The following is a 19,919-nucleotide window of genomic DNA, read 5'->3' on the forward strand; positions in this document are numbered from 1 at the left end:
TTCCCTTAATTACTTCCACATTTATTATTTGGAATTCTATAAGGAAATTTAGCCATTCTACTTCATTTATTTACTTACGTAATGTCAGTTTGGACTCATGGATACTTATGTTCTTCTTTGTGAGGCAATTCAGTATTGTTACTTTTTATTTTGCTGGCCAAAAGATTCCTGTCCCAGGCCTAGCATCAGCAATTATGCCAAGAAGCTTTACTTATTTATTTATTTTTACTGGAGAATGTTACTTAGAAACTAAGATCTAAGATCTGAGCACAAGAATGTTGCTGTGTGCCAGGCACTCTGAGCAGACAGATTTAGAAAATATATGTGTGCATATGAACACATAGATACATACACATCTATATCTACTTTTCTGTCTGTGCTTATCTACATTAATCTATGGTGTGTGTGTGTATGTGTGTGTGTGTGTGTGTATGTATAAGTGTACCAAAAATAAAATTCTAAGCACCCCTAGCTGACTCAAGCATCCCTCTCTTGGCCCAGCGGATCTCAAAGAAACCTGAAAATCTAGTTCAGGCCATGACAGAAAGAGCATGTCAGACATGTCTCATTATACTCTCCTCCTCAGCAGTTTAGATACAACTGACTAGTGTTATCATTAAATATAAGATCCTAAGACTGTCAAAACAGACTTTTTATAGCAATAAGATACCAAATTCCAACCCAACTCTCATATAGCATCACATGACAAATAACAGGCCCTGAAGGAAATCTAATTATTTTACCCCAAAATATATTTATTTGACATATTCTGAAATGGCCCTGCAAAATTGTCTCTTGTGGGTGAAATTTGCACCCTGTAGAGAATCTCCTTCTCTTACTACGTCTTTTCTTGAGAATCTGACACTATTTGAGGACTGATAAGAGACATTCACCAACTATTTTCTCTGAAGACTGCTACTTGGAAGCTTCATCTACATAACAAGAATCTTGGCTTCCACAACCTTCTTATATAAACTCAAACACTTCTTTATGCTAAATTCAACGTTTTAGTCAGGGCTTAACTCTTTTAAACAAATACCAATCAGGAAATCTTTTAATTCACGTATGATCTGGAAGCCCCACAACTTTGAGACATCCCCCCTTTCCAGGCCAAACCAGTGTGTATACCTTACATGTATTGATTTTGTCTTTGCCTGTGACTTCTATCTCCTTAAAATGTATAAAACCAAACTGTAACCCAACCACCTGGGGCACATTTTCTTAGGAACTCTGGAGGCTGTCATGGGCCATGGGCCATGGTCCTTAACCTTGGCAAAATAAACCTCTAAATTGATTGAGATCTGTTTCAGATATCTTTTAGTTAACATATGTGTTACTATGTTTACAAAATAAAATATATATACTATGTATATATATTTTTGTGTATATATATGTATATGTATATACATATATATGTATACACATAGGCATTCATACATATACATATATGTATGCATATACATATGCATGCATATATGTGTATATACCACACACACACACACACACACACACACACACACACACACACAGACATACATACTTGAATTCCTATCTTTGATTTTTACCCAGCACAATAGGATTTATTCTAACCTTGTCTCATACCTTATTTGTATTTTTTCTGACAATGAAACATTTGGCTCTAATTATACATATGTATACATTTAATCAACTCTAGTATATATAAAATAGTTTCAGAATTGAGTAAAAAAACACCAAATAAAGGATAGTGTTTGTATGTAATTCATTATATATTTATTTCTATAATATTGAATGAAACACTGATTTTCAGTTACTTGTCAGGTCCTTTTTATTTTGCCCCATTCAATGAAGTCTGCCATATATATGAGATACACTTAGATTCATTTACAACATTCTGCTTGCCATCTTGGTATTCCACAATATCATAATTTATTTTTAGTATTTTTCATAAAGTACACTCTTTGTGGTATACAATTCTGTAAGTTTAAAAAAATTATACTCATATATCTGCCATGAAATTGCCATACAGAACTGTTTCATTACCCTACAGTTCTCTTGGGCAGTCCCTTGTGAGTCAAATTCTTAGCTTCCATGCCTTCTTATCAACCACTAATTTGTTTCCCAAACTTAAGTTTTATGTTTTTTAGAATTTTGTATAAATTGAATTCTTTCACATGGAAAAATGCATTTAAGATTCGTCCATATTATTGCTTGTATCAGTTGCGTATTTCTTTTTATTGCCAAGTAGCATTTGTTGTATGTACAGTAGAGTTTCTTTATCCATTCACCTGTTAAAGGACATCTTGTTTGTTTCTTATTGGGCTGATGATTAATAAAGAATAAATCATCTTTAAATATTTGCACAAATGCCTTTTGTGCGTGAACATAACTTTTCAATTCACTGGGAAGTATGTGGGAGTGTGATTATTGATTGTATTAATATTGTATGTTTAAACATTATAATGGATCATAGATTTAACCTTTCTGTATTATTCTTTACTTTAGCAACTTCTTGTAATTATTTCAAAATTATCAGTTATAAGAAAGTAAAAAAAAAAAAAGAAACTTCCAGGTTGACTTAAAAAGTGACTGTGACCTTTTGCCTTCCTACCAAAGCTGAAAGAGTTTTTTTTTTTTTATTTTTTAGCACATTAGAAATATCATTCCATTGTATGTTTGTTTATATGGCTTCACGTAAGACATTGGCTATTTTCTTATTTATGTGTCTTTCTAAGCAATGTGTCTTTCTTTTCTCTGTTTGCCTTTAAAATTTTCTCTGTCTTTGGGTTTAGTTTTGTTTGCTTCTTTGTTCATGTTCTGTCGTTTTGGTTTTCACATGCATCTTCTTTCTTGCTCTACGAGAATATTGGATCTTTTGTTTGGTGTCTGTCACTAATTTAGAACACTGTTAACCATTATTTCTTCGAGTATATTTTCATCCCTCTTTCATCTTTCTTCTGCTTCAAGGGCTCCACTAGGTTTATGTTAGATTATATGATATTAATATTGTTTCACAAATCTTGGAAGTTATTTTATTTTATTTTATTTTTTGAGACGGAGTTTTACTCTTGTTGCCCAGGCTGAAGTGCAATGGTGCGATCTCGGCTCGCTGCAACCTCTGCCTCCCGGGTTCAGGTGATTCTCCTGCCTCAGCCTCCCTAGTAGCTGGGATTATAGGCATGCGCCACCATGCCCGGCTAATTTTGTATTTTTAGTAGAGACGGGGTTTCTCCATGTTGGTCAGGCTCGTCTCAAACTCCTAACATCAGGTGATCCACCTGCCTCGGCCTCCCAAAGTGCTGGGATTACAGGCGTGAGCCACCGCGCCCAGCCGGATGTTCTTTTTTTTAACTTAGTTTTTTCATGCATTACGTTTTTTCCCCACTAGGGGAATTTCTATTAATATCTTCAAACTAGCTGATTCTTCCTAAGTTTTTTTTAGTCTACTGGTGAGTACATATAATACATCCAGTCTTTCTCAATTTATAAAAAATTTCTGTCATTTTAATCTAATCATTCCCTATAGTTTTCATCTCTCTGCTAACAGTACCTATCTGATTTTTCATGTTTCCTGTATTTTCAGCTAGAGCCGTTAATATGCTAATTATAGTTATTTTGAAATGCCTGCCTGAGAGTTCTAAAATCCGTGTTATATCTATCTCATATGTGTAAACTTTTTAAAAAACATTATGTGATTTTTTTTTTTTAGCTCATCAGCTATTGTTAGTGTTAGTGTATATTTTGTGTGGCCCAAGACAATTATTCTTCCATTGTGGCCCAAGGAAGCCAAAAGATTGAACATCCCTGAGTCCTGGAAAGAAGTTAGGCATAGTCTGAAGTTTCATCCTTGCTTAGATTGCTAGGTTTTGTATTTTTGCTTGACTTTGGGTCCTCTCTTTGTGCTGCTCCTCAGGAGAATCTCTTACTACCAGTGTCCCAGCTGTATTCCCATAATATGTTTACTCAACATTTATTGTGGTGGTGATTGTCTCCTTTCAAAAGAAAGGGAGAAGAGATGAAAGCTCTCTGATGTTCTCAACATGGTCTCAGAAATATGGCTTTCAGAAACATTCCTGCTTCTCCCTCCAGATACAATGTTGACTCTAGTAGTTATACCGTTCCCTCCCCCAAGGCGACAGCTTTGTTATTTCCTGTTCCCCAACCCCCAGCTGCAGTAGGTTCTTACAAGTGTCCCCAGGCTATAGTTGCGTTGTCCTTCACTCTAAAGATTAAATATTATGTTTCATAGGGAAAACAGAGAGATGGATTCTGGCCCAATTTTGACAGTGATTTCTCGTCTTATTCTCCAATCAACACCACCAGTCAAGGTTTCTCATGGTTTTTCCCAAATGTTCCTTTGAGCAACTATGGTATCCCTGAAGAAAAAGTCTTGCAACAGGGTGTAAATTCCTCTATGTCTGTGGCTCCCAATTGTTCTTTATCAATGTTTTAGAAATTTCTAGCTGGTCCTTCTTACTGGGTTACATGGTATTAGGTGGTATTGGGGTGAACTAGACAAATGCTAAATAAAGGTCTGTTTCTTTCTGATGATTTCTGCATGTGTGTAAGTTTCAGTTTAGTTGTTTTTCCTGTGATCTCAGTCTCTTCTATTTTCAAGAAGAGTAATTAATTTGCCACGTGCCCTTCCAACTTCCTTTTTTTTTTTTTTTTTGAGACAGAGTCTCGCTCTGTTGCCCAGGCTGGAGTGCAGTGGCGCGATCTCGGCTCACTGCAAGCTCCGCCTCCTGGGTTCATGCCATTCTCCTGTCTCAGCCTCCCGAGTAGCTGGGACCACAGGCGCCCGCCACCACGTCCGGCTAATTTTTTGTATTTTTGGTAGAGCCGGGATTTCACCGTGTTAGCCAGGATGGTCTCGATCTGCTGACCTCGTGATCTGCCCGCCTCGGCCTCCCAAAGTGCTGGGATTACAGGCGTGAGCCACCATGCCTGGTCTCCAATTTCTTGTTGTGGTTGCAGGAGTTAACCTCTTTTCACCTTTCTACATGACTGAGCTGAAAATGGAATACTGAGCACTATCTAAAACTAAGAATAACTAAGGGATTACATTGAGTCCAATTTTATTATTTACCGGTGAGAAAACTGAGACGTTAGTGTTCATATAGAAAAATACAGCTGCTTATTTGGAAAACAATGCCAGAATTAAAATTTTCTGAATCTCAATCTAATATAAATCATAGCAAATAATATTTCTGTTAAGATTTCTGTTAACTTCTGTTAATAACTGAGGTTTGTAAGATAAATAAATGTGGAAATAATTGAGACAAACCTTTCGTTTTGTATTTATATTGCACTTAGATGTGACTTTTGAGAAACATTTGGGATTTTAGTGGGATACCTGACAGACAGTACCAAAGTTTAAAGTGAGTAGTATGTGCCGTTTTATTCCTTGATGTAAAAGAATGCATAGCAGTATATATTTTAGTGACTTTTATTACAAATTATTTCTGAGAAGTATGACTAAAATTTTTAAGAGACTATAAAATCAAATAATTATCTTTATGTCTAATATACATCATTCACAATGAGCTATTACAGCCATTACATTTAGATTTTTATATTATATACCTCTATTGATGTAAATACAAAAGAGTAAAACATTTGTTTTGCCATGATTATACTTTCAGTGATTAAAAACTACTAATGATTATATCTCCCTCTATGTTTAGAGTACAAGAAGTCTCCCAAAGTTTTCTACATAGTTTTTTTACAAGAATTACAGATCTTTATTGTCTATATGAGTCCAATTTCTTTTTTAAAAGTCGATTGTTGGTTTGCTTACAAACAATGCTTATTCACTCTTGCCCTAAATGTTAATGGTTAAGAAGGAATGTGTATTGTTTAAGTAATCTGCAGTGTGGTTTGGAGTAAGGATACTCACATGAATAAATGGGAGTAGACTATATTTTCCAAAATGAGACATATACTGACCACTTATTTTCCACAAAGGTGCCAAGAAAATGAGGAATGTGTAGTCTTTGTAAAAAAATAAAGTGCTGAAAATATTAGACATATGTATCCAAAATAATGAACCTCATTTCATAACTTACACAAAAATTAACTCAAAGTGGATTATGGAAATGAATGTAGGAACTCAGAATATTAAAATTTAGGAGAAAAGAGAGAAGAAAATTGTCCTCGGTTTATGCAAAGATTCTTTACATAGGATACTAAATGTAGACATCAGCAAAATTAAATCTTCTGCTCTTCAAAATACACTGTTAAGAAAGTGCTAAATTAAGTCACACATGAGAGAAAATAGTTGCAAATCATATATCTGATAAAAGATTTCTATTCAAAATATATACAGAACTCTTCAGTAGTAATAACTCTTAAAAAATAAGATGTATAAAATACTTCAATGAACACTTTACTGAGGAAAATATTCAAATGGAAAATAAGCAAATTAAAAAGAGGTCCAACACCACTCATTAGTCATTAGGAATACAGAAATTAAAATTATAGTAAGATAGCTAAGCGCCCAGCAGAATGGCTAAAATTAAAGATTCTAAAGATATAAAGCATGCATGAGAATGAGACATCACTGGAACTCTTATACATTGTTGGTGAGAATGCAAAATGGTAATGTGGGAAGTTTCTTTTACATTTTTTCATACAGTTGCATATTTCCTCATGATGTGACTCAGATAAATGCCTCCCTAGATCCTCACAAAAGAAAACGAAAATAGTAGAGGTTTACAGAAAGATTTGTCCTCAAATGTTAGCGGATACACACATAAAAGCCCCAAACTATGATCAATTCACTCAGTTTAAATGAATTTCTAAAGAATGATTCTAAATGCAAAGCCACACAAAAAAGATAATAGAGTGTATAATTGTTTTATAACATATTTGTAAAAAGACAAACATATAGTGACAGAAACCAGATAATTGTTTGCCATAGACTGGGGTTGCAGGATGGAGCTGACTACAAAGAGGCTCCAATGAACTATTTCAGATGGTGACGATACTCTCAATTATGGTTATAATGCTACATGCACATTGTAATCTTTTGTCAAAACAGTTAAGATTGATGAAACTCTTTATATATTACAGTTAACAAAGGCAATATATGGAGAAGCAATTGTCTTTTAGCAAAAGATATCCACATGCAAAAAAAAAAAAAAAGAATCCAGACACAGAACTTGCACTTTACGTAACAATTAAATCAAAATGGGTCATAGACTTAAATGTACAATGCAAAACTATAAAATTCTTAAAAGATAACATAAGAGAAAATCTAAATAATCTTAGGTATGATGATGACTTTTTCAACACAACACCAAAGACATGGTCTATAAAAGAAATAATTGAGAAATTAGATTTCATTAAAAATTAAAAACTTCTCCTATGAAATACACTGTTGAAAGAATGAGAAAACAAGCCATAGACTGGGAGAAAACATTTGCAAAAGGCACACTGAAAAACATATGTTATCCAAAATATACAAAAAATTCTTAAAGCTCAACAAGAAAGAAAAAGCAGATTTTAAATTTGGGCAAGAAACCTTAACAGACACCTCACCAAAAAAGATACACAGATGGCAAATAAGCCTATTAAAAGATGCTCAATATCCTCTCATTAGAAAAGTAATTACAGATTAAAACAACAATGAGATACCACTACTCATATATTAGAATGGCCAAAATGCAAACAAAAGTATGGCAACAAATGCGAGGGTGGATATGGAACAGGAACCATCCTTCATTGCTGGTGGGAATGAAAGCCATTTTGAAAGACAGTTTGGCATTCTTACAAACTAAACATAATCTGACCATTATCCTTAATTCAAAAGCTAATAAGAAATAACAGATAATCTAAATATGAATTAGAACGAATTTCATTAGCCCATTAAGTTTCAAGATGCTGTATTAGGTATCAATTGCTGCCTAGCAGATTTAGTGTCCCAATTTGCTTTCCCAAAAATTAGTGGCTTAAAACAATACACATTCATTTTCCCAAAGAAGTTTCTGTTTATATCCCAAAGTTTCTGTTCTCACACTGCTAATAAAGTCATATCTGAGACTGGGTAATGTACAAAGAAAAGAGGTTTAATTGACTCACAGTTCCACATGGCTGGGAAGGCCTCACAATCATGGCTGAAAACAAATGAGGAGCTAAGTCACATCTTACATGGTGACAGGCAGGAGAACTTGTGGAGGGGAACTCCCCTTTCTAAAACTATGAGATCTCATGAGACTTATTCACTATCACAAGTACAGCAAAGGAAAGACCCCCCTCCGTGATTCAATTATCTCTCACCAGCTCCCTCCCATGACATGTGGGAATTAAGGGAGCTGCCATGCAGGATGAGATTTTGGTGAAGACACAGCCAAACCATATCATTCCAACCACCCCCTCCCAAATCTCACGTCCTCACATTTCAAAACCAACCACACCTTCCCAAAAGTCCCCCAAAGTCTTAACTCATTCAGCATTAACTCAGAAGTCCACAGTCCCAAGTCTCAACTAAGACAAGACAGGTCCCTTCCACCTATGAGCCTGTAAAATCAAAAGCAAGTTAGTTACTTCCTAGATACAATGGGCATACGGGCATTGAGTAAATAAACCCAATCCAAATGAAAGTATTTTAAAAACAAAAAGGATCCTGAAATTAAAAGAAGCAATCTTCAGGGATAAAGGAATGAATTTATCCACAGTAAGATATAATTTTATAAATATGAGATCTTGGAACTTAGTTTTCTCAGATTTTTTTCCCTTCTTCTGCATGTTCTCTAAGTTCAAAGACAAAAATAATCCAATAGGAAGTATGAAAGCAAGGATGGGCATGGTGGCTCATGCCTGTAATCCTAGCAATTTGGGAGGCTGGGAGGGTGGATCACATGAGGTCACGAGTTTGAGACCAGCCTGGCCAACACGGCAAAACCCCAACTCTACTAAAAATACAAAAGTAGCCAGGTGTGTTAACATATGCCTGTAACCCCAGTTACTCGGGAGGCTGAGGCAGAAAAATCGCTTGAACCCAGGATGCAAGGCTGCAGTGAGCTGAGATGGCACTCTAGCCTGGGAGACAGAGCAAGACTCTATCCTCCCCCTACCCCCCCCAAAAAAAGAAAATCTAAAAGCAATGGCTGAAATATGTAATTTTCTACTTAAATAACACACTGGATAACAAGGAAATATATTTTACTGATGCTTAGTATTGCTTAGTATAAATTGGCCTTAATTTAGAGAAGCAACAGGATGCTGCTAGAGCCTGTCTCAGAGGGGGAGCATAAAACAAATTCAAAATAGGCTTCCTGACCACTGACCCCCTGTTGTCTCCCTCTTCCCTGCATTTCTCAAGCTCTAGAAGAACAGCAAAGGAGAAATTCAAACAGCAGATACATATAATCTCCTTGATGAGAAGTTTACTTTTTGGGGAGCAATAGAAAATGTGGAGGTAGACAATTTCACTATTTTCAACCCTGTATTAAGTTCACGACACAAGCAAAGTTTGTGACTTCAAATCCTATTTCTGGATTCTATTTTCTACTCTAGTGATTGATAATCACCTAGGGATTATAAATGATCACAACAAAGAGAAAAGTAAATATCTGAAAATAAGAAGCCAAAATACTATAAAAATTATTGGTAACATAAAATAAGACAATAAAGTTATAAAGAGGAACCAAAGGGAAATAGTTTCTTATAAAAATAAAATTCTTGTACTGGAAATAAAAACCACAATAGAAGGATTTTATAACAGAATAATATAGCCAAAAGTGGTATTTTTTTGAACTGGATTATTAAGTTTAAAAGCTCTTCCAGAAATCATCAGAAAATACTAAAAATTATGGAAAGAATAAGAATTTGCGGTGTCTGTAAGGTAGAACTAGACATGTAACTGCCTGAAATAGGAGTCCTTGAAGGAGTTTAAATATATATTGAACAGAGGAACTATTTGAAACAGTAAGGATAGAACAGATCCAAATATTTAAAAGACAAAATATATTATATTAGAAAAATCTCATAAAATAAAGACAGAAACTTTCAAAAAGCCACAACCAGACACATAATAGTGAAACTAAACTTCTTCAAAATAATGAAAACAATTCTAATGAAATCAATGTTAGAATTATTAACAACACCAAGGGCAAAAAGACAGTGGAGCAATATTTTCAAAACATAAAATATAAAGAATTATATGATACTTCTAATTTTATGGCAAACTAAACTGAGATTTAAAACAAAGACACAATTAAAGGTACTTTAAAAGCTTTATCATAGAACAAAATTTATTGGAGGAGATCCTATTGAATGGATAAAAATCAACCAAGAGAAATGCTAAAGGAAGCAGGTAAAATAGGGCTTAGTGAACAATTTATTAAAGATTATTGTCATCTAAATACAGAAAGAATAAAGTAGGAAAAATATAACAATTATGTTCATATAATTGTGGACTAATACCAAAATAAACATTAACATTGGGAGATAGATGAGTAAGAGGAAATAAATAAAATCTTAAAGTACTGTCTAGTCTGATTTAAGAGAAAAATGTAGAACTCAATGACTGAAAAATTGCAAGGGAATCGGAACTTAAAGTTTTAGTAGGTTATAAATAACCTCAGAATTAAAAATAGATATGTAATATTTTCAAATCAGCCAAAAAAGCACCTCTTCATAGAATGAGGAAAAAATAACTACAGTGAATATAAAATGAGACATAAATATTAATGTCATCAGAATTACTGGAAATTAAATCAATAATGCAAAAGGTGACAGCTTTGCCTGCCACTTATTGGCCAGAACACTAACACAGAGCCTCACCATGTGGCCTTGGCTTCCTCATAGCATGGCTAACTCCAGTAGATGTGGTTGTTCAGGGCTGTGAAAACAAGCATGCTGACAATCAGATGGGAGCCATATTGCCTTTTATGACCTACCCATGGATGTACCAGTCTTATCGCCACACTAACAAAACTGCGTAAACCTGAGAGAGGAAGCGTAGATCCTAACTTTCAATGGGAGGGATGTCAGAACACTTCATAAAAAGAATTTATGGTGTTGGAGATATTATTGTGGCCATCTTTGAGAACATGCAATCTGCTAGTCTGCCTTCTACCTCAATAATCCACTTGCTCTCATATACTAAATATAGCACTGCCTGCCCACAAAATCCCTAAGTGTTATCCTACTATGACAATAGTTCATCAAAGTCCAGGATTTCCTCAGGTAAATCAGGTCCAACTATAGATGAGGCACTTTAGGTTTTCTATTGTGTGTAGAACTCCTAGAATACAATTTATCTCAATCTGAATTACTTATAAACTAAAGAAACAAGTTATCTGCCCTCCAGCTTCCTCCCCTGGACAGAATGCTATGATGAGATGGGCACAGAATAGCTGATATAGACACTCATTCAAAAAGATAAGGTTCTCAATGGTTATTCGTCCACAGAATTTTCAGAATCCAGCCATGCACATGTTGCCAGATCAGTGTTTAGGGAAAAGTTCTGCCTGGGAGTACAGGGTGGATCTAGGCATTATGTTTCAAGCTCTTGGTTTTGCCCTCTGAAGACTCCTTCTTTTTCCATAGGAAATGGCATGTGTTTGTAACTGGGTATTTCTCTCCACCTGCCTTCTGCCTGTATCCCCTAAAGGAGTGTGAAATGATTTCTTTACTTTTCTATCTCTTCTGCTTTTAATTGAATAACATATACTAATAATCTATTTTTACAAGCTTATAGGCTTTCTGGGTATCAATTTATAATCAATCTAGTAAACAAAATCTACATACACATCCACGAAAACGTTTCACTGAGAGATCCCTTTGAGTCTACTAAGGCATAAAGCATTTCAAGACCTTAAAAACTGTATTAGTTCATTTTCACACTGCTGATATAGACATACTGTGACTGGGAAGAAAAAGAGGTTTTAAGGGACTTACAGTTCCATGTGGCTGGGGAGGCCTCACAATCATGGCAGAAGGCAAGGAGGAGCAAGTCACATCTTACAGGGATGGCAGCGGGCAAAGAAAGAGCTTGTGCAGGGGAACTCTTCTTTATAAAACCATCAGATCTCTTGAGACTTATTCACTATCACAGGAACAGCATGAGAAAGACCCACCCCATGATTCAATTACCTCCCACTGGGTTCCTCCCATGACACATGGAAATTGAAGATGAGATTTGGGTGGGAACATAGCCAAACCATATCAATCCACCCCTGGCCCCTCCCAAATCTCATGTCCTCACATTTCAAAAACCAATCCTGCCTTCCCAACAGTCCCCAAAAGTTTTAACTCATTTCAGCATTAAATCAAAAGTTCACAGTCCAAAGTCTCATCTGAGACAAAGCAAGTCCCTTGTGCCCATGAGCCTGTAAAATCAAAAGCAAGTTAGTTACTTCCTAGATACAATGGGGGTACAGGCATTGGGTAAATACAGCCATTCTAAATGTGAGAAACTGGCCAAAGCAAACAGGCTACAGGCCCCATGCAAGTCCAAAATCCAGCGGGGTAGTCAAATCTGAAAGCATCAAAATGATCTCCTTTGACTCCATGTCTCACATCCAGGTCATGCTGGTGCAAGAGGCGGGCTCCCACAGCCTTGGGCAGCTCCACCCCTGTGGCTTTGCAGGGTATAGTGGTATAGCTCCTCTCCTGGATGCTTCCATGGGCTGGCATTGAGTGTCTGAAGCTTTTCCAGGCACACAGTGCAAGCTGTCAGTGGATCTACTATTCTGGGGTCTGGAGGATGGTGGCCCTCTTCTCACAGCTTCACTAGGCAGTTCCTCAGTAGGGACTCTGTGTGGGAGCTCCAACTCCACATTTTTCTTCTGCATGGCCCTGACAGAAGTTCTCCATGAGGGCCCTGCCCCTGCAGCAAACTACTGCCTGGACATCTGGGCATTTCCATACATCCTCTGAAATCTAGGCAGAGGTTCTCAAACCTCAGTTCTTAACTTCTGTGCACCTGCAGACTCAACCCATGTGGAAGCTGCCAAGGGTTGGGGATTATACCCTCTAAAGCCATAGCCCAAGCTATACCTTGGCCCTTTTAAGTCACAGCTGGAGTGGCTGGGATGCAGGGCACCAAGTCCCTAGACTGCACACAGCATGGGGACCCTGGGACCAGATCACAAAACAATTTTTTCCTCCTAGGCCTCCAAGCCTGTGATGGGAGGGGCTGCAGTGAAGACCACTGACATGCCCTGAAGACGTTTTCCCCTTGTCTTTCAGATTGAATTTCAGCTCCTCATTACTTATAGAAATTTCTGCAACTAACTTGAATTTATCCTCAGAAAATGGTATTTTCTTTTCTATCACATTGTCAGGGCAAACTTTCCAAACTTTTATGTTCTGTTTCCCTTTTAAAACTGAATGCCTTTAACAGCACCCAAGTCACATCTTGAATGTTTTGCTGCTTAGAAATTTCTTTCACAAGATACCCCAAATCATCTCTCTCAAATTTAAATCTCTAGGGCAGGGGCAAAATGCCACCAGTCTCTTTGCTAAAACATAACAACGTTCACCTTTGCTCCAGTTCCCAGCAAGTTCCTCATTTCCATCTGAGACTACCTAAGCCTGGACATTAATGTTCATATCACCATCAGCATTTTTGTCAAAGCCATTCAGCAAGTCTCTAGGAAGTTCCAAGCCTTCGCACATTTTCCTATCTGTCTTCTGAGTCCTCCATACTGTTCCAACCTTTGCCTTTTACCCAGTTCCAAAATTGCTTCCACATTTTCAGGTATCTTTTCAGCAACACCCCACTCCTGGTACCAATTTACTGTATTAGTCTGTTTTCACACTGCTGATATAGATATACCCAAGACTGGGAAGAAAAAGAGGTTGTAATGGACTCACAGTTCCATGTGGCAGGGGAGGCCTCACAATCATAGTGGAAGGCAAGGAGGATCAAGTCACTCTTATATGAATGGCAGCAGGCCAAGAGAGAGCTTGTACAGGGGGACTCCTCTTTATAAAACCATCATATCTCATGAGACTTATTCACTATCAATGAGAACAGCATGAGAAAGGCCCACCCCATGATTCAATTACTTTGCACTGGCTTCATCCCATGACATGTGGGAATTGAAAATGAGATTTTGGTGGGGACACAGGCAAACCATATCACAAACCTTATTTTTTAACAGAGATGTCCACAGACTATGCAATTATATTCTGAATCTATAAACACTGAAGCCTGAAGTATTAACAAATGGTTTTAAATTTGCCTCCTTAGTTACATTTTTACCATGAGACATTTTTTTGACAGTGACCTGGAGTTAAACTATGACACATGGCTATTTCTTACTCTTTGAATCTTCTCTTAAAGCAGTAAGGAATGAGAGAGAGTTTTATTGGCAAACTCAGCAAATCTAGGCTCATTTATATTTATACTAAAATTTTTCTCTCTCATTTTATACCTGGCAGCTAGAAAATGACAAACTGCACACTCAAAATTTTATGTGGAAATTTCCTTAGCTTGATCATCAAGTTAATTAATATATTGTCTATTTTCTATATTACTATAGTTGTCAATTTGATACTGTCTCTTAATATAAAAGATGTCCTTTTCTCTATCAGTAACATTTTCCTCACTTTCCTTTAAGCCCCACCTACAAACTCCCCTGGTCCCTCAGGCTTTTGCTAACACCCTCTTTGACACCCTTTAGGCTTTAACTAATGGTCTCCTCAATATCCTTACAGCTTCTGCCACCAATCAGTATCACACCATCGTAATGTATTTTTGATTGTGTAAAGGCAGCACTTCATTCCTGATACCATGATTTATCTATTTTGGCTATTTATGTGTAACACATTAACCCAAAAGTTATGGTCCTAAAATGACCATTCAATAGAATGCTCACAGACCCCATAAAACACCAATTCAGAATGGGCACAGTTCTTTCTCCTCCTTATTCTGTAATAACAGATTGGCAGTGACTGGCTTGCTAGAGCAAAACTCATGTAGAGACTCCCTTATTTGCATGCCTGAAAGTTGATGGTGGCTGTCACTGGAGATCTCACTCAGCTGTAATGGTCAACCAGCTGGTAATCTATCACCTACTATGGCCTTTCTATGTGGCATGAGCACCCTAACAGGATGACAGCATTGGATTTCTCACATGGCACTTGGGGCTCCAAAGGCAAGTGTTCCAAGTGAATCAGGTGGAAACTCAGTACCTTTTGTGTCCTAATGGTATTACATAAAACAAAACAATCATTCGTTTTGCTGAGAAATGTGAATTTGGACTTTGTTAGGCCGTTTTGTCTCTCTCCATATGGGTTCGTGTGAGGCAGCTTAACAGGGGATAAGATTATCCACTTTCAAGATGTTTCACTCACTTAGCTCAAAAAATGCTACTGGCCACAGCCTGGAAGTTCAGCCAGGGCCTGTGTGTGTGTGTGAGGTGGGGGGGTGTATGTTAAGGGGGGCAGGTGGGGAGATGGGGAGGTTTCATTTTATCTCCACGTGAACCTTTCCACAGTCTACTTGGACTTCCACAGGGCATAGTGATTCAGTTCTAAGAAAAGGTATCTCAATAGAATCAAATGGAAACTATTATATCTTTGATGGTCCAGCTTTAGAAGTTACATAGCATCACTTTTGCCGTATTCATAAACAGACCTACATCCAAGAGGAGGACATATACTTCACCTCACAATGAGAAGAGTATCTAAATTGCACTGAAGGTAATCTATAATGAAAGATACTGTTTTAGCCAACTTTAAAAATGTAATCTGCCAGACAACTCTACTATTCTACCCTTGGAGAAAGAAAAACAAGCCATGTATATTAAATATAACATAGGCAAACATATACATATGTAGATACATATATAAACAATCATGAAATCGAGATTCTTTTACCTTCAATAATTGTTATCTGAATTTTTAGTATTTTCTTAATTACCAGAGAGCCTGAATAGGTGTTTTGTGGCCAGTTTGAGCTTATTGTATCAAACAGGTAAACTTAGGGAAAGACCTTATTAAGCACGAAGTCTTGGAGTTTGTTTTATTCTTGCTGTTGTTTCTTCAGGCTATGTTAGCAATTAAAATTTCAATTTTATTTTTTGAGATAATCAGTAGATTTCACACTCCCACAAAATTTCTTGTATTAATAAGTGAAAATTATCTTAATTATTAGACCTAAGTGGAAATAAATATGCCAATTAACTGATCTCTCTGATTATAAAAGGCTGTTACTAATGTATAATATTGAGAGATAGTCAATTTCATTTCATGTCTTGATTTTAAAACAAAGTCAATCATAAAAAGTTAAACTTAGTCATTCACTTAAAATGAAAACAAAATAAAAAAATTCCAGAATGGAAACGAAAGATGGCACAGCTGGATTTTTTTATCACCCAAAATTACATTTCATGCCAGCAGTCTGTAGAAGAAAATAATTATCAGATTATATTCTGTATATTCTACTGTTAAATAATATAGTATCTATATTAAAAACACATGTAATTTTCCCGATTTGGCCACATAAATATAAATGCTGCTTTTGCATGTTTGGTATTAGAAAACATAAGCATGGAATTTAATGCCACACATAAAGTGTCACTAAACATTAAGTAAACTCTGGATATATTCCAACCTATCATGTAATTTTGAACAGGTATTTATTTTCATGAAGTTAAATTGCTCAATATGTCTACATTATATAAGACTCCTAACATGTTGGCAGATAAATTCATACATATATATATATATATGTATGTATATACACACACACATATATACACACACACACATATATATAAAAAATATTGAAATCCTCATATGGGAAAAGGCTCTTTATATTTAGCTTGCTGATGTAAGATGACTAACAGACAAACTATAAATCAAAGACAAATTAAATATCTACCACATTTCACAGCTCTATTTGCTTTGAAATATTTGCTGAAGGGTTATGCATGGTAGCTCACACCTGTAATGCCTGCACTTTGGAAGGCTGATGTGAGACGATCGCTTGAACCCAGGAATTCAAGACCAGCCTAGGCAACACAGTGAGACCCTGTCTCTACATGAAAAAAAAAAAAAAAAAAAGAAAAGAGAAAGAAAAAATTATGAGCTGGCTGCGGTGGCTTATGCCTGTAATCCCAGTACTTTGGGAGGCTGATGCGGGGGATCACTTATTGTCAGGAGTTCGAGACCAGCCTGGCCAACATGGTGAAACCCTGTCTGTACTAAAAATACAAAAAAATTAGCTGGGCATAGTGGCGCATGTTTGTAGTCCCAGTTACTCAGGAGGCTGAATTAGGAGAATCACTTGAACCCAAGAGGCGGAGTTTGCAGTAATCTGAGAATCATGCTACTTCACTGCAGCCTGGGTGACAGAGTGAAACTTTGTCTCAAAAAGAAAAATGAAAAAGAAAAAAATAGCTATCTGTGGTGTCACACACACAGCTACTCGGGAGGCTGAGGCAAGAGGATCTCTTGAGCCCAAGAAGTCAAGGCTGTAGTCGGCCATGATCATGCTACTGCACTCCAGCCTGGGCAACAGTGCAAGACCCTGTCTCAAAATATATATATATATATATTTGCTGAAACAACTCAAACAGCAACCTTATGAAACATATAATAAGTTGATTGTGTTTTAAATAAGTTCTAGAGACAGGGATCTAGCAGAGATGGCTCTACACTGTCAACTTATCTATGCCCGAACTACATTCCCCAGTATTCCCTTCCCTCTGTGATTCAGGTTAGGCATGGCCACAACAGAAATGTTTGCCAATTCAAGGATGCAAAAAGTACATGAGCACTTCATTTTGAAGGTCTTCATAATGCACTGAGCTCCACTAGAGCTTACACGGGTGGCCAAAATATTCTATCATCCTTTGAGTATGCAGCTACTTTAGCTCCCCTCAACCCTCCTGCTTCAGCTTCTCCAGGTCCTGTACACATGTGGTTAGGCACATGTGCAGCTCCATGGGAATAGGTGCTAGCAACGTTTGCCAGAAACTAGCATTTCTGAGGTTGAAGTCAGTTAAAATCTTACTCCTACATCTTAACTGCTTCCAACACACATCACTGAGCCATTTATTTTACATAAGTTCAGGGCTTCAGTTTGTTCCTCTCTATTCGACTTTTCCTTTGCTTTCCTCCATCATCGGATCAAATATTTTCTGCCTGCCAGTTGTCCTGACCTATAGCAATTTTAGATTCACCAGGAGACACAGTAGTGTAAGTCTTCCCTTGCATTCTTCAACAGCTCCCACATTTTTGTAATTTTATTCCTATAGTAAACACTCTCTTTCATATTACTCTACTAATATACTTCTTTGGTCAAACCCTAATCAATACATCAGTCAAGCTAGTTAAGTTAGGTTTTAGGACACTTATTTCACACATGTTCAGGGCCTGGTTATTGTGTTTTGACAGTCCTTGCATGGGGCATTTTCCATGTTTCTCTACCAGCACATCTTTCTGCAATATTAAATACATCCAGCAGATATTTAAGAAATAGTTGCTGGATGAGCACATAAATATGTGGGAGAGTGAATGAAATATGAATATCTCATCTCTCAAGCATCTTGAAGTATGTATTACCAAAAAGTCAAGTACTATTCTCCAGTTTTATTGGGTCATATGAATTACCTGGGTTTATCTAGAGTGAGGCTTACAGAAATTGTTACATTACAAAAAATTATAAAATTGTGTTATCATTATAAAAAAACTAGCAATTCTATTCGTTGATCATATACCTTCTATGTATAAGCAATAAGATTTAGGGTAACTGTACAGCTAAATAAATGATGCCATGAAATCTCCACATAAACTTACCATGAACTAACATTGCTGATGGTGATATGAATGTCACCTCCCTGAAATCTAAAAGAGCATCAATAACATATATCTCAGAAAAGTTGACATTTGAACTAGGTCTTGAATAACAGGAGATACTTTTTAGGGCACAACGCACATATAGATAGAAGTAGCAATACAAAAGATTGGAGACACAAAATAGTACACAATGTTCACAAAATTGACTGGTGTGATATTACTAAGGATACTCATAATTTGTGCTTTGATAGGTAATTCTGAATCCAATGGAGATAAAAATTGGAAGTAAGAATTTGAGAATGGGGCACCGATTCGAAAGCTTAGTCTTTAATACTACAGAAAGGAGGTGTTTTGTATTATTAGCTAAAGATTCTCATAGTTCATTGAGACCAATATATCCTGTAAAGTGATGTACATCTCGGTTTGAAGATCAATTAAGAGGCAAGCACCATTAATTAAAACTGGTCCATCACTAGCAAATTGAGAATAACAAGTTAGGTTAAGAAATATGAGTGGCTTGTTTGAATAGATTTAAGGGAGAAGTCATATTTATTTCAAAGCTTGAAGTGAATTATAAGAATATAAATATATCTTCACATAAAGTTAATATATAAAAATAAAAAATTATCTGAACTACCTTCTTTAACAGTGAAAGCATAATGTTTTCCCTGAGATTCTATCTTTAGATAACCCTTAGGTCCCAGATTGCTTTTGGTTTTCTAGATTAAGTTCTTAATGTCTCATAGATTTCTACTGAGATTGTAACTATTCTACTCTCCAGGCTAGTCAAAGAAAAATATAGTCAAATTCCTTGGGGATGCGATCTAATCACAGCTGAAACATAGCATTTGAGAAACCATTTCTCATAGACCAATATTAGCTCAATGCACACAAGTTATTATTTCACTGGAAAGATTCTTTCATCGGAGAATCAAGGGTAGTTTTAATTTTAGCACAAGTACTGTAACCTTCTTGAAACATACTTTCAAATATTACTTGAATTACTAACTTACAGCACTGATAGAAAAGGTATTTAACTTGAAGTTTTGCTTATATTGGTACAGAGAAATATTTTAGGGAAATAACTCCTTATCAGAATAAAGCAAAATTATTTTTTACATCAACCCTAATTTAACAGTGGAAATAATTTAACCATGTATACTGATATTATGAAATAA

The sequence above is a fragment of the Homo sapiens genome, chromosome 6 (assembly GCF_000001405.40).
Source record: "Homo sapiens chromosome 6, GRCh38.p14 Primary Assembly".
NCBI classification, from domain to species: domain Eukaryota; kingdom Metazoa; phylum Chordata; class Mammalia; order Primates; family Hominidae; genus Homo; species Homo sapiens.